At 40.7% G+C, this 16,690-nt stretch overlaps 1 long non-coding RNA gene across 1 annotated transcript in view; it reads right to left on the bottom strand.

Annotated features, from left to right (window-relative positions):
• ARHGEF35-AS1 (ARHGEF35 antisense RNA 1) overlaps positions 1-16,690 on the bottom strand; it is a 104,269-nt gene that overhangs the window by 71,363 nt on the left and 16,216 nt on the right. The window lies entirely within an intron of this gene.

Genomic DNA, 16,690 nt, shown 5'->3' with positions numbered 1-16,690 from the left:
GGTTGTGTTCAAATTTCTACTCACATCATATAGGCCTAGGGATGTGTTACCCTTTATTCTTTTTATTTATTTATTTATTTATTTATTTACTTATTTATTTGAGAAGGAGTCTTCTTCTGTTGCCCAGTCTGGAGTGCAGTTGTTGGCTCACTGCAACTTCTGTCTCCCAGGTTTAAGTGATTCCCCTGCCTCAGCCTCCTGAGTAGCTGGGACTACAGGCGTGGGCCACCATGCCTGGCTAATTTTGTATTTTTAGTAGAGAGGGGGTTTCCCCATGTTGGCCAGGCTGGTCTCGAACTCCTGACCTCAGGTGATCCACCCGCCTCGGCCTCCCAAAGTGCTGGGAACACAGGCGCGAGCCACCGTGCCTGGCCTATTCTTTTAAGTTTGGATATCTTGTGCATTTGGTTTGTCCAATTCATCCTTTTGGCATATTCTTATGCAGTAGATATTAATAATCAAGAATATCCTATTGCTCTAGGATCACAGAGAAGAAAAGAAACAATTTAGGGTTGAAATTTAGCATTTACTATTAAAAATGCTGGGAATACTTATTTATGTTTTATCGTAGGAGTCCATGGCGATTGCCTTCTCACAGAAGTGTGCCAAATGACTGAAACTGTGATTCCAGAAGGCCAGGATGGTACTGGTGCTACACAGGAAGTCATGTCAGGGTGTTGATCTTGAAAACTCTGGCAAGAGGGTGGAGACAACTGTAGGCAATAACTACTGGGAATGAAAGGGATGGGAATTTGTGTGTTGTAGTCAGTTTCCTTGCCGCCTGAGATTGGCACCTGCAGCATCTCTGGCACGTGGACCAGGGATTGCCAACTGCCGACCTGTAGGACTGGTGTTTACTGTTGGCTGTGAGTGTAGAGTACCATTGTTAAATACAGGTTCTTGAGAATAGACAAAAAGGAAAGACATTTGGAATGCTGTCTCACTGGACTTCACAGCTCTCATGTTTTCGCAGCCAGCAGAGAAGTGTCTTACATCCCTTGCTTTCTTCATAAATTTTAAATAGCATTGGCTCATTTTTATCTGTGTTTTTCCAAGCTGTGTTTCTCTGTTTTTAATTTTTGAAATCATGTTGTGCCAAAAGAAGAAGTGAATCCTTGAACACGGTATGATTTGGTCAACAGAATACTGGCTCAGCATGAGAATGTCTGGGCTCTCACGACAATTCCCTCACTTACACACTGTGTGACCTTAGAAAAGTTGCTTAACTCCTCTGGACTTCCATTTCCACACATATAAAATAAAGAATTGAACTAGAAAAACTTTAAGGTCGCCTCTTGTTTTCTAATTCCCTGTCTTTATTAGTTTCTTCACATTTCATATTAATTTGGATTTTCACTTTTGTCAAAGGAGTATAAAATAAATTCCATACAGAGAAAATGAAATGGACTTCTGAGGCTAACTGAATCTCTCTGACCTTAAATACAGTAGAATCCCAAAAATACGTACTGGCCAGGCACGATGGCTCATGCCTGTAATCCTAGCACTTTGGGAGGCCGAGGCAGGAGGATCACTTGAGGCCAGGAGTTTGAGACCAGCCTGGCGAATATGATGAACCTTTTCTCTACTAAAAATACAAAAACCAGCCAGGCATGGTGGCATGCGCCTGTAATTCCAGCTACTTGGGAGGCTGGGGCACAAGAATCGCTTGATCCTGGAAGGCAGAGGTTGCAGTGAGCCAGGATCATGCCACTGCACTCCAGCCTGGGTGACAGAGGGAGACTCTGTTTCAGAAAAGGAAAAAAAATAGTACATACTGAAGTAATTAATTAGTTGACTATTTTAGTGCTCTGGGAAATAGAAATTTCATAAGACTGGCTAAAAGGTAACACGAAATGCCCACCTTAAGGAAAGAATATTACTAGGAATAACTTTGATTGGGAATGGTTCTAGGAACTAGACTAAAACATAAATATCTAGTTTTGTACCCATATTACCCACATTGTAGATATACTTTTAAGAGCTAGTATTTGCTGAGAGCTTATGAAATGTCAGGCATTGTGCTAAGGTACATGCATCATTATCATGTCTCAACTTCATAACAATTCTAGTACTTTTATTATTATTATTACAAAAGAAGAGATAGAGGTTCAGAGATAGTAAGAAACTTTTCTATGGTCACACAGCAAGTATCTGACATAACTTGGACTCTAATCCAGGTGAGCCTGACTCCATAACCACTGGGTCATATGGCCTCCCTCTATCCTGGACTTACAGAATCTTTTTCTGTGAACAGTTAAGTAAGGATCAAGAAAATCAGCCTTGAGATCTATTGTACAACTTGGTGATGATAGCTAATAACAATAGATTGTATTGTGAAAAATGTTGACAGAGTAGATTTTAAGTGTTCTCACCATAAAAATGACAAGGGTGTTAGATAATTCATATGGTAATTTGCCCAATTTAGTCATTCCACAATGTACATACATTTCAAAATATCATTTTCTACATGGTAAATCTATACAATTTTGTCAATTAAAAAATAAAACACTTATTTTACTTAATTTTATTTATTTATTTATTTATTTTTGAGATGGAGTTTTGCTCTTGTCGCCCAGGCTGGAGTGCAATGGCACAATCTCAGCTCACTGCAACATCCACCTCCCGATTCAAGGGCTTCTCCTGCCTCAGGCTCCTGAGTAGCTGGAATTACAGGCGGCCACCACCATGCCTGCCTACTTTTTTGCATTTTTAATAGAGACAGGGTTTCACCATGTTGTCCAGGCTGGTGTTGAATGCCTGACCTCAGGTGATCCACCCGCCTCAGCCTCCCAAAGTGCTGGGATTATAGGCATGAGCCACTGCAGCCGGCAGAAAAAAATAAAACGTTTAAAAAGTCCACCATCTTTACCACACACAAAGAAAAGAAAATCAGCTTTAAGAAAATGATTAAAATATAGCTAACGTAGTCCCCAATATATATAACAAGCAAAATAGTAATACACAAACCAGTTTTTTATTGGAAAAAAACACATAGATACAAGTAGAGACAGATAAACTATTTACAGTAGAACAAGTGACAGAGAATAATAAATGTAATGAAAGATGTATAGTTCCTCTAGTAAGTAATAAATTTTAAAGCACAAGATACCATTTTTCACCCATTAGATGGACAAAAATTAAAAGATGGATACTTTCTAGCATCGCTAAGCATGTAGGCAAGTGGATACTTCCCCACAGTCTTAATAGATTTCGGGGAAATTTGGTCATGTCTCTTCAAAAACTAAATTGTTAGTTTTGTTTTGATTTTTCAGAGACAGGGTTTCACTCTGTTGCCCAGGCTGGAGTACAGTGATGCAATCACAGCTCACTGCAGCCTCGGACTCCTGAGCTGAAAACAGCCTCCGACCTCAGCCTCCAGAGTAGCTGGAACTACAGGTGCAAGCCACCATGCCTGGCTAATTTTGTTGTTGTTGGTTGGTAGAGATGGGGTCTATATTGCTTAGGCTGGTATTGAATTCCTGGGCTCAAGTGATCCTCCCTCCTCAGTCTCCCAAAGTGCTGGGATTACAGGCATGAGCCACTGTGCCCGGCCTCAAAAAATAAAATGTGCATACCTTTTGATGCAGCAATTTCAATTCTAAGAACATATCCTACAGAAATATTCCCATATGCATAAATATATACATGTACATATATTTTAAGCAGAAGCAATACTTGTAAATTGATAAATAACCTAATATCAATAGTGAGGTTATTAAATAAAACATTGCAAATATATACAATGAAATATTATGCAACTCTTAATATAAATAAGTTTTACTAGTATATTAACATCTAATTAGATATTAATGTACAGTTAACATATAAACTAATATTACCATAAGCAAAATTTTCACAAAATGTGAAGTGAGGAAACAAAGTATATTGATACTGTGCTTTCTCATTCACTTAAAAACCTATAGATATGTGTATGTGTGAGAATATATATAGAGACATATACTAAAGCATGGGAAAATGTTTAAAATAATACACATTAAAGACTTAAAGAAGAGACCTCTCAAAATGTAGACTGAACCATGGGAAAGAATATTGCATTATTTGAAAATTTTACAGTAAACCAATGTTCATTCCTTGTTCAGAGGAGGTTTTCCTGACCAGCAGACATCACGCCATCAATTGGTGATTCAGGGACCCAGGGTCCTTACACCTCATGGATCTGCCCTCATTTCCACATGGTTCCCATTATTGTCATGTGTGTTGGAGGGAGACAAAGCATGAAAGTTTCAGTGACCTGGCCCAAAAGTGGACTCTTTATTTCTGCTCACATCCCATTGGCTAAAATTTGGTCACCATGGCAATAAAAAATGCAAGTGATTCTGAGAAATGTGGTCTGTATACCCAGGCATAAGAGGAACAATTCTGATAAACATCTAGCAGCCTGTGCCACAGGGAATCAGAGGTTCTGAGTTTCTAGCTCTCTGCCTCTTCAGGACAATAGTAAAACTCAAAAGAAGTAGAGGGACCAAGAGACTTGGGACTCCTCCACAGCTCTCCATCATCAGCACCTCCATAGAATTTTTTTTCAATTTTATCTGAATATTTCAATTTTACCTGAATTTTTTTCAATTTTATCAGACAGTAGATTTTTTTTCAATTTTATCTGAAATACAATCCAAATAGAGCTTCAAGACAAATCCCCTAGCCCCCATTTCAGTACAAACATTCTGAAACTGCTACTGCCCTGATTACCTTCTGAGGGACCCAGACAAAGTCAACCCTGAACCATCAAGTCTCAAGATGTTGGGAAATCCTATAAACCTGGATTCAGGTGCGCCATGATCAGCCTTATCCTAATTTTCCTTCCCTGTCTGTAAAATGGTGATAAGACACCACCCCATTTATTTCAAGGAAATGTGAGCTTCACAAAAGGTAATATACACAGCACTTTGTAAGCTGAAAAGAAGTACTAAAAGTTATTCTTAATCATGAAGCATTGAGATCCATCTATTCTCTTCTCTCACCTTTGTTTTCTCCTTCCTTACTTTCTCTATGTATTATTTACCTGATCCCTTATAAAAGAGGTAAAGGATATACACCTACTATGTACCCACAAATATTAAAAGTGTTTTAAAAAATTTAATGTGGTATCTTAAACTAAAACCCACTACAATTTAGTCCCAGGGAAGGCAGTTCTAGGAAAGAGCCAAACAAGGACATATGAACAAAAGGTAATACTGGGCAATAGGACTGGATTTGAGGTAACCAAATCAGACAGGTGTATGATCCTTTCTTCTCAAAAAGTGGGTTGTGATAGGAGATCAGCCATTCCATGCTTTAAGGGGGTAGAGAGAATAAACAGGCTGAATTTCCAGCTATCCCAAATGTGTTTCCCATGGTGTTTGCATTGAACTGGAAGAGAAGAAAGGAAGTGATGACTAAGGTGGATGAAAGGCCAGGTGCAGTGGCTCATGCCTGCAATCCCAGCACTTCGGGAGGCCAAGGCGGGTGGATCACTTGAGGGCAGGACTTCGAGACCAGCCTTGCCAACATGGTGAAACCCCATCTCTACTAAAAATACAAAAATTAGCCGGGCGTCATGGCGCATGCCTGTAAAACCAGCTACTCGGGAGGCTGAGGCAGAATTATCACTTGAACCCGGGAGGCAGAGGTTGCAGTGAGCCGAGATTGCACCATTGCACTCCAGCCTGGGTGGCAGAGGGAGATTCCGTCTCAAAAATAAATAAATAAATAAAATCAGGTAAATGAAGGGTTAAAATACTAAGTAATGAACTCTTCTGGCATGCAGAAGACATCTAGCACTCCATGCCTGCGTGGCTCAACCCTTCCCCATCAGATACAGCAGAACAAAATGTTAGCGTGTGGGCAATGAAAGTCAGTTAGCAGGCTGTAGCAATGCCACTGATGGAATACTATGACCTCAGAAGCTATCTGCCTTTTTTTGAAGCCAACAACTATCCAGTAGGATTTTAGAGGCACTCAAAGCCTTACAATTATCTCTCCCTCCTGCCTTCACATATTCAGAATGTCTTTAGCAAGACAATCTTGTTTCACAATCACAGACAAACTTCCCACGCCAATGTATATGTTCATATAGATAGGTTGTGACTAGCAGGTAATAAGTGTCCTGTTTTGATAAGACTTCGAGTCCTAGATACCTGAAGAGGGTGTGCAGGAAGGGAGGCTAGGGCTCCCCCAACAATTTCATCTATTTTAAACCTTGTCACTTCTGAAACCTGTAATCCCACCAGATTTTTAGCTGTCATTTAAGTCTCTGAAACCTGCCAGGAGCTTTTCTTAATGCAAAAAACAAACAAAACAAATGTCCACTAAGTTCCACCAATACAGGACTGATTAAGTAAAGACCAGTATCTTCATACAATGGAATACCATAAAATTATCAACCAACAGTAAACAATATGGATGGTCTCTAGATCTTACATTGAAAAATCTCCAAGACCCATTCAGAAAAGCAAGAAAAAAGGAAGGGGGTGGATAAACTCTATCTAGATGTGCTTACATATGCATAAAGTCATTCTAGAGGAATACAGAAGAAACTAGGAAGAGAGAGGTTGAAAACAGGGAAGACGGTGACAAGCAGCGGCATATCTAGGCCTGAAGCTTATACAATTTGGGGCAGCTTCTTTAAGAAACAGAATGTGAATGTATGAATACAAAATTAGTTCAGAGCTTTGGAAGGGACTCTTGGAAGGGGTTCTAAGCTTAAGCTTTGCTAGCTTCATGGTAAATCCACTACTGGGGACAAGTAGGAAAGGGAGAATACAAAAAAAATATTTTTGAAAGCTGATTGAAATCTGAGTCATTTATATCTATTCATAAAACTTAATTTTAAAAAAATCAATGTATTTGCCAAAATAGCTCTGGAGAAAGATAACTGACTAGGTGACCAGGCCTCATGAAAAATTTGAGTTCCTATAACCAAATTCATAAAAGGAACACTGCAAAAATGACAACAGTAACCACTGAAATATAATATTTCACCTATTACATTAGCAAAGTCAAAAAGTTTTAAAGGCTGGGTGTGGTGGCTCATGCCTGTAATATCAGCACTTTGGGAGGCTGAGGTGGGAGGATCACTTGAGCCCAGGAGTTCAAGACTACCTTGGGCAACATAGGGAGACTCTGTCTACAAAAAGTAAAAAATCAGCCATGCATAGTGGTGCATTCCTGTGGGAGGCTGAGGTGGCAGGATTACTTGAGCCTGGGAAGTCGAAGCTGCAGTGAGCTGTAATCACGCCATTGCACTCCAGCCTGGGCAACAGAGTGAGACCCTGTCTCAGAAAAAAAAAAGTTTTAAAAACATACAGTTAGTGAGGCATGGAGTGTCATACATTGCTGTAATTTGGTATAAATGACCTGCATGGAGAAAAGTTTGCCAAAGTCTCCCACAATTACAAATGCACCATTTGACACAGCAATTCTACTTCCAGGAATATAGCCCACAGGTAGACTAGCATGTGTGCTATGCAACAGATGTAAAGGTTATTCACTGCAGCATTGTTTGTACTGCCAAACTACTGGGAAAAACCTCAGCAGGAGACTACACCCATTCAATAAAATCTTGTACAGCTGAAAAATAAATAAGGAAACTATGTGCTAATATAGAACAATCTTCAACCTATATTTTTAAATGAAAAATGCAAGTTTTGAAATATTTTGTGGACTATCATTGATGTAATATATTTCCTGTAAGTGCAAAATATTTTTGGAAGCATTTCACAAACAACTTGTAATATTGGTGCCTTGAGAGAAGATAATTGGATAGCTGGGAAACATGTGGAGGCAGACATTTACTTCTGTGCTTTTAGCTTTTTTGAAGGATGTCAATGTGTAATTTTTTCAAAATATGTCTTGAAGATAAACATAGATCTTTAAAATTTGCAAAATTCACACCAGCCTTAAATTCTAATCAAGCCTGAGACTGTTCAGAGGGAAGCCTGGTGAAGCCCCAAAGCTTTACATCAATTCCACGTTTGATGCAGATCAAACTAGGGATAAGAAAGGTTGAGAACATTGGGCATTTTTTCCCCTCCACTGGAGGGTATACTACTTACATTAAAAAGACTCATTATTTATTAAATGATTCAATGATTTCGTGATTCTAAATAAAACCTTTTCCAGGGACTTTTTTTTTTTTTTGAGATGGGGTCTCACTCCGTCACCCAGGCTGGAGTGTAGTGGTGCGATTACAGTTCATTACAACCTCGAACTCCTGGGCTCAAGTGATCCTCCTGCCTCAGCCTCTGTTCCAGTTCTTCTGTGGGCTCCCAATCCAATGCTTTAGATTCTCAATAATGAAGGGACCTCCTTTTCCCAAGCCCTTTATCAATGAACTCTATTAAGAAGAGAAGTGTCTGATTCACCAGAGGAGACAGAAAAGAACATTGGTACCCAGTGAGTGTTCCTTTATTTAGAAGGCAAGATCCCTCGGGACATGATTAAAATCCAAACCTGAGGACACACATTCTAAAACAAGTGAGATGGGAAGAATATTGGATCCTAAGTACGGTAATTATTCTAAAAAGAAGAAAGTTGCCAGTGCCAGCCTGGGCAGCATAGAGAGACCCCATCTCTACAAAAAATTAGCTGGGTATAGTGGCACACTATGCTACTCGGGAGACTGATGCAGGAGAATTGCTTGAGCCTGGGACTTCGAGACTGTATTGAGCTATGATCACACCACTGCACTCCAGCCTGGGGGACAGAGTAAGACCCTACCTCGAAAGCAAAACAGAAAGAAAGCTGCAGCTGGTGGAGAATGCTAACTCCACCCTCATACAATTAGAATATATGAGAAGTCTTTTGCTACTAATAGATTGTGCATTCCAGGAGTGATTTAGAGCTATGAAGTCATATCAAGATTTACTTTTTTTTTTAAGATGACTAAAATTTTCAGAGCAAGCTTGTGATCCAATGCATTTATTTCCACAAGATGGTGCTATAGCTTCTGCTAAGTACAAAACTCACATTTCCTTTAGGAACTAGAAATACAAAATATGTTTCTAATGGAGAACCAAATGTGCATACGCTCTGGTGAGTCTGTCAAAGAAACACATTGTGCAAAAACGTCCCGGTGGAGGTGGAGGTTGATTTAGGCCTAAAGGGTGAAGATTGTTCCAGGTAATAATACTTTCCGCCACCTCCACACATACCTGAGTTGATGTCTCAAGGCGTCATGCAGCCTTCAGCCTCCTCTTTGTCCAAAATACTGCTCTTCCTACTATCAGGAGTGGGTGTGTGTGTGTGTGTGTGTGTGTGTGTGTCAGACATGGGATTGAGGAGTGGCCCAGAGCTCCCACCACCATGGAAATGCAGCTCCCATGGCCACCCACACTTCCACCCAGGGGCAGCTCAAGGCTCACCCCTTCAATAGAGCCTTTCCTTGCCACTCTGTCCTACATGAATCACACCTGCCTAGGGGTACAAATAATAATGCAACAGAATGTTTTAGAATACCATTTTTCCATTTCCATCTAAGTGTGCCAAGTGTTGGCGGGGGGGTGTGGTGGGCAGAGTCCATTTTATAGCCCACAGCAATGAGGATCCTACCTTGAAATTATGCACAGTGATGATATCACAAATGCTGGCAATCTCAAGCAAGTATTCAGCCACCTTGGTTGGCAGCCTGGGTGACTGGGAGGATGCTGGCCCCGGTTGGCCACTACTTGGACCTAGAAATATGTTAAGTCATCACCTCTTTGGAGTTGTTTGATCATCTCTACCAGGACAGGATTAAACTGTTCTGATTTTTTTTAATATCTTGTTTTAATGACTTTAACATCTTCAGTATCCCTCTCCTGACAGAGTCATAGAGGTGGGAATATTTGCATCACAAGGGAAATAGAAGGATGTCTCTGCTGAAGTGAATGGCACCTCCCTTCCTATTCATCTTTATTCTTTAAAAAAATTTTTTCTGTCCAGGCGTGATGGCTCATACCTGTAATCCCAGCACTTTGGGAGGCCAAGGTGGGTGGAACATTTGAGATCAGGAGTTTGCGATCAGCCTGGCCAACATGGTGAAACCCCACCTCTACTAAAAACACAAAAATTAGCCGGGAGTGGTGGTGGGCATCTATAGTCCCAGCTACTCGGGAGGCTGCGACAGGAGAATCGCTTGAACCTGGGAGGTGGAGGTTGCAGTGTGCTGAGATCACACCACTGCACTCCAGCCTGGGTGACAGAGCGAGACTCTGTCTCAAAAAGAAAAAAAAAATTTTAAATAGAGATAGGGTCCCACTATGTTTCCCAAGCTGGTCTTGAACTCCCGGGCTCAAGCAGTCCTTCCGCCTCCACCTCCCAAAGTGCTGAGATTACAGGCGTGAGCCACTACACCGGTCTCATCTTTATTCTTGTCTCCATTTTTCTCTATTTTATTCTGTGCCTCTGTGCCTTGGCAGTCAAAAATGTGACATAGCTGTACAGTCAGCCCTCCTTATCCACAGGCTCCACATCGTAGCTTCAACCAACAATGGATCAAAAAATTCAGGAAAGAAAAATGGATGGTTGTGTCTGTACTGAAAATGTACAGACTTTTTTTCTTGTTATCGTTCCCTAAACAACACAGTATAACGACTATTTTCATAGGATTTACATTGTACTAGCTATTAATCTAGAGATGTCTTAAAGTGTACAGGAGGATGTGCATAGGTTATAGGCAAAGACTAAGCCATTTTATGTCAGAGACTTGAGCATCTGGGGATTTTGGTATCTGCAGGGGGTGGGAAGGGTCCTTGGAACCAATCCCCTAGGATGACTGGACATGGTGGATCACTCCTGCTCTCTTTTGCTACCATATCCTCTCCACTGCCACAGAGGTAAGGGCAGGGTAAGTGGAAGCCTAGGGCCACAGAGACAACAGGGTACTCTGGGCTCACCATCAAGAGTAGAGAAGGAAACCTGTTGTGCTGCTCTAGGAGTAGAGGATGCCTTTTGGAAGATAAGTGGGATAACATGGATTAGGATGGAAAAGAATACTCATACCTAAGAACAATCACTGACTGGGGACTTTGACAGTGGATGGAACACCTCAAGAAATAGGCATCAAGGACGTGAGACGAGGGATGAGGCCGAAGACTTTCTATCAGCAAAAAGGAAGGACAGAGTTAGGCTGAACTAAAGACATTTCTGTGTTCAAAATAAACAGCATGCTGTTATTGGGTTTGTCTTATATTATTATGTCTATCAGAAGAAGAGTACACAAAGATACAACTTACTTATACATACTTATAACTTACACAACTTACTTATTATGTCTATCAGAATACACAAAGATACAATTTATTCTTTGAATAGCAGCAGATTTTAGTCTAAAACAGAAAAGATACAAAAAAAAGTAATGTGTGTTTTCTAGCTTCTCCCAAATAGAAAAAAAATAAAATATATATGTATAAAATGATAACAAAAATATTTGGCTTTAAGCCCTCATCACAGGAATTCTTGGAACCCTCTCTCTTCCGACAGATGTAAGAGGCAGTATAAACATCTTTGTATGTGTCAGTATGTATTTGTGTGTGTTGGGTTCTCATCTGATACCAAAAAGACTACCATATTACTCATAAATATATAAACAGAGACATATACATTTAATAAATTCAAGATAGATTTTAAAATAGGGCAATAGAAAAATAAGAATAGAAGATATAAAAGTTCACAAAATATACTTCACTATAAAATGCATCTTTGAAAGGTAGGTTACAATTTTGCTATTCAATTCTATTCTCCAATTCAGAAGGGAAATGTGAGCGGTATAAATTTTCCTCAGACTAGCCTTGCTTTCTCAGTTTCTTCTAGAACTTATGCTAATACAACTTGTTGTTCAGATGCAATTTTCATAACCTTCTAATTTGAGAAAATAGAAGCACCATCTTCAAGGATAAAAGTCAGTTGAAATTCAGTTCCCCACTCAAATTTACTTCCCACCAATAATTACCTAATGTCCTACAATTCACTGGGTGTGGGAACTTCTACTCTCTCCCATCTCAGGGTTAGTTTGATGCCTACTTGCAGTTTTCTTTCAGAGGTTAAAGGGTAATGACTGCCTCCCTTGATTGAATAATCTTAACTTGTATGTTCTGGGGACTCATTTGTTTCTTATATAAAACCAAACCCCTGACAGATTACCTTGATATACAGTGAGCAGTGGAATTAGTGAGTCCCCAACTTTTGCAATGTATAGCACCCTCCAAATGCCAAAAAAAATTAGAGATGAAATAGAAAGGAGAACAAAGAAGAGGGTGATCGTATTAGTCCATTTTCACGCTGCTGATAAAGACATACCCAAAACTGAGGAGAAAAAGAGGTTTCATTGGACTTACAGTTGCACATGGCTGGGGAGGCCTCAGAATCACAGTGGGAGGCAAAAGGTACTTCTTATATGGCAGCGGCAAGAGACAATGAGAGAGAAACAAAAGCAGAAACTCCTGATAAACCCATCAGATCTCCTGAGACTTATTCACTATCACAAAAATAGCATGGGAAAGACCGGCCCCCATGATTCAATTACCTCCCCCTGGGTCCCTCCCACAACACCTGGGAATTCTGGGAGATAACAATTCAAGTTGAGATTTGGGTGGGGGCACAGCCAAACCATATCATTCTGCCCCTGGCCCCTCCAAATCTCATGTTCTCACATTTCAAAACCAATCATGCCTTCCAAACAGTCCCCCAAAGTCTTAACTCATCTCAGCATTAACCCAAAAGTCCGTAGTCCAAAGTCTCATCTGAAACAAGGCAAGTCCCTTCTACCCATGATCCTGTAAAATCAAAAGCAAGCTAGTTACTTCCTACATACAATGGGGATACAGGTAATGGGTAAATACAGCCATTCCAAATGGGAGAAAGTGCCCACAACAAAGGCGTTACAAGCCCCATGCAAGTCCAAAATCCAGCGAGGCAGTCAAATTATAACGTTCCAAAATGATCTCCTCTGACTCCATGTCTCACATCCAGGTCACAATGATGCAAGAGGTAGGTTCCCTTAGTCTTGGGCAGCTCTGCCCCTGTGGCTTCACAGGGTATAGTCCCCACTCCTGGCTGCTTTCACGGGCTGGCGTTTAGGGTCTGTGGCTTTTCCAGGTGCACGGTACAAGCTGTCGGTGGATCTACCATTCTGGGGTCTGAAGGACGGTGGCCTTCTTTGCACAGCTCCACTAGGTGGTGCCCCAGTAGGGATTCTGTGTGGGGGCTCCAACCCCACATTTCCCTTCACACTGCCCTAGCAGAGGTTCTCCATGAAGGCTCTGCCCCTGGAGCAAACTTTTGCCTGAGCATCCAGGTGATTCCATACATCTTCTGAAATCTAGATGGAGGTTCCCAAACCTCAATTCTTGACTTCCATGCACCTGCAGGCTCAACACCACATGGAAGCTGCCAAGGTTTGGGGCTTGCACCCTCTGAAACCACGGGCAGAGCTGTACCTCGGCCCTTTTAGCAATGGCTGGAGCAGCTGGGATGCAGGGCACCAAGTCCCTAGGCTGCACACAGCATGGGGACCCTGGGCCTGGCCCACAAAACCATTTTTTCCTCCTAGTCTTCAGGGTCTGTGATGGGAGGGGCTGCCATGAAGACCTGTGACATGCCCTGGAGACATTTTCCCCATTGTCTTGGAGATTAACATTCAGCTCCCTGTAACTTATGCAAATTTCTGCAGCCAGCTTGAATTTCTCCTCAAAAAACAGGTTTCTCTCTTCTGCTGCATCAACTGGCTGCAAATTTTCCAAATTTTTATGCTGTTTCCCTTTTAAAATGAAATGCTTTTAACAGCACCCAAATCACCTCTTGAATGCTTTGCTGCTTAGAAATTTCTTCAGCCAGATACCCTAAATCACCTCTCTCAAGATCAAAGTTCCACAAATCTCTATGGTAGGGGCAAAATGCCACCAGTCTCTTTGCTAAAACATAACAACAGTCATCTTTGTTCCAGTTCCCTACAAGTTCCTCATCTCCATCTGAGACCACCTCAGCCTGGACCTTATTGTCCATAGCAGTATCAGCATTTTTGTCAAAGCCATTCAACAAGTCTTTAGGAAGTTCCAAACTTTCCCACATTTTCTTGTCTTCTTCTGAGCCCTCCAAACTGTTTCAACCTCTGCCTGTTACCCAGTTCCAAAGTCGCTTCCACATTTTCAGGTATCTTTTCAGCAGCGCCCCACTCCACTGGTACCAATTTACTGTATTAGTCAGTTTTCATACTGCTGATAAAGACATATCCAAGACTGGGAAGAAAAAGAGGTTTAACTGGACTTACAGTTGCACATGGCTGGGGAGGCCTCAGAATCATGGTGGGAGGCAAAAGGCACTTCTTACATGGCAGTGGCAAGAGAAAACGAGAGAGAAGTAAAGGTGCAAACCCCTGATAAACCCATCAGATCTCGTGAGACTTAATTCACTATCATGAGAATAGCATGGGAATTCATCATTGAATCAATCATTGAAAAGAATTAGCAGAGGACTGATAAATAAGCATAGAAAGATAGGAAGAGCATTTCAGATTCAATTACCTCCCCGTGGGTCCCTCCCATAACATGTGGGAATTCTGGGAGACACAATTCAAGTTGAGATTTGGGTGGGGACATAGCCAAACCATATCAAGGATAGTCATTTTTTCTCTGCTGTCATATTTATGGCAAGGTTCATTGTTCACTCATCTGGTCTCCATAGTTAAAACATTTCTTTGAAAATACTTTAACCAGATTCATAATATTTTATAAGATATGTAATAAACTGAATGTTCGTGTTCTTTCCTCCACCCTCCCATTCACATAGGAAGCTCTAACCTCAATGCAATGGTATTGGGAGGTGGGGCATTTGGAAAATAATTGTGCTTAGATGAGGTCAGGAGGGTAGATCCCCCTTGATGGGATTAGTGCCCTTATAACTAGAGGAAGAGACACCAGACCTTTCTCTCTGCAGAATATGAGAAGGCAGCCATCTGCAAGCCAGGAAGAGAGCCCCCATCATGAGTCAAATCTATTGGCATCTTGATCTTGGACTTACTAGCCTCCAGAACTGTGAGAAATAAGCGTCTGTTGTTTGAGCCAACCAGCCTATGGGATTTGGTTACAGCAACCCAAGATGACTAATATAACATCTTCACAATTCAGCAAATACATATATAAATTTATTTTACAGATGAATAGAAAGATTAGTTGCTTTTCTAGAACCACATGACCAGTATAGGATCAAAATCTCATTCTCTTCATGGTGAACTTACTCAATTATTTGTTCAACTTAATCAATTATTTGCTAACTGATCACCTACTGCATACTAGAAGCTATGCTCAGCTTTCAGTCACAAAGATAGAGAATGTATGGTCCCAAATCTTAAGAAGCTTGCAATGGAAAATAAGCAGACAAGAAAATAAAAATAAATTAGTTACAATATCACAGCATTAAAAATGTACTAACAGAAGGCTATACTGAATACGTTAAGGTGCCACAGAATGAAAGATAACCATTCTACTTGGAGAAGTCAGGAAAAGTTTCAGAGATAAGGTAACATGAATTCATCATTGAAAAGAATTAATAGAGGTTTGATAAATAGACAGAGAAAGGTAGGAAGAGCATTTTAGACACAGAGAATACTGTCTAGGAAGATCCAGGAATAAAAAAAGAACTGGCATATAATGGTTTGACAAACAATCAGGTATGGCTTGAGCACAAAGCATGTATGGTAGAGACAGAAAAAGATAGTGACCAAGGGGAAGCCTGGGAATGAAGGCAGGAGTCAGACTGTGAAAGGCCTTTATATTGCACTCAGTACAATTTTTGTAAAATAAATGAACTGTCATTTTAAAAGCCTAACTTTCCTTGTGTGTTGCCTTTGCCTTTGTCTAACATTACCAAGAGCACCTATACCTGTGTCCAATCTTGCTCCAGTCCTAAGGGTAGCTGGGTCTTGGTATTCAAATTCTCTTTTCCGCTTTTAGGGATCCAAGCTCAGCTCATCAGCAGTTAAGAGGTCTAAGTGCTTGCTTCATTTCTGAGGAGAAGAAAGTACCAGGAAGACAACCAATCCTATGGTACTTCATAACTATGGCTTGGAGACCCAAGTCAAGCTTTTTAGTCTGACCACCACTCTGGCAGTGAAGGCTTCCAAAATGCATGTGTAAATTTGAGCTAAGAGTGGGTGTCCAGAAGAAGCCATAGTAAATAGCAAAAAGCTATGTTCAAAAACATCTATGTGGTCTGAGGAAAACTGGGGAGGGTACCAACTAAGGCTAATTGAGCCACTTTGGGGAATTAATTGATCACACCGAGGAAGATAGCCATGTAAAGGAATTGGCTGCCCCTTCCCTTGGTCCTTGTGGTGGGGTGTCTACTGGAACTGTCGTGGATGTTGCCATGAAGCCTCTATATGGACCCAAATATCATAGCAGCCCATTCTGCTTTATGTATCCTGCTCATTCATTCATTCATTCAACAAACAAACATTCATTGATCACTTACCATGCAATGTTTTAAACACTGGGAATACAGAGACGAAAGATGCAGCCTCTGCTCTTGAGAAACACAGCATAGCGAATAAATTAAAATCAAGAACATTTCTCTAGACAAGGAAAACTCACTAGAAAAACAGAATTCAAAAATAAGATCTAATTCACAATAGCATAAAAATCTATAAAGTATTGATAACCTTATTTAATAAAAAAATAAAGAAAAAGTTTTAAATTAGTCTAAAGAACATATAAGA

Source organism: Homo sapiens, chromosome 7, assembly GCF_000001405.40.
Source record: "Homo sapiens chromosome 7, GRCh38.p14 Primary Assembly".
In the NCBI taxonomy this organism is placed as follows: domain Eukaryota; kingdom Metazoa; phylum Chordata; class Mammalia; order Primates; family Hominidae; genus Homo; species Homo sapiens.
The sequence above is the reverse complement of the archived record's forward strand: the minus strand, read 5'-3'. Positions and strand labels throughout refer to the sequence as shown.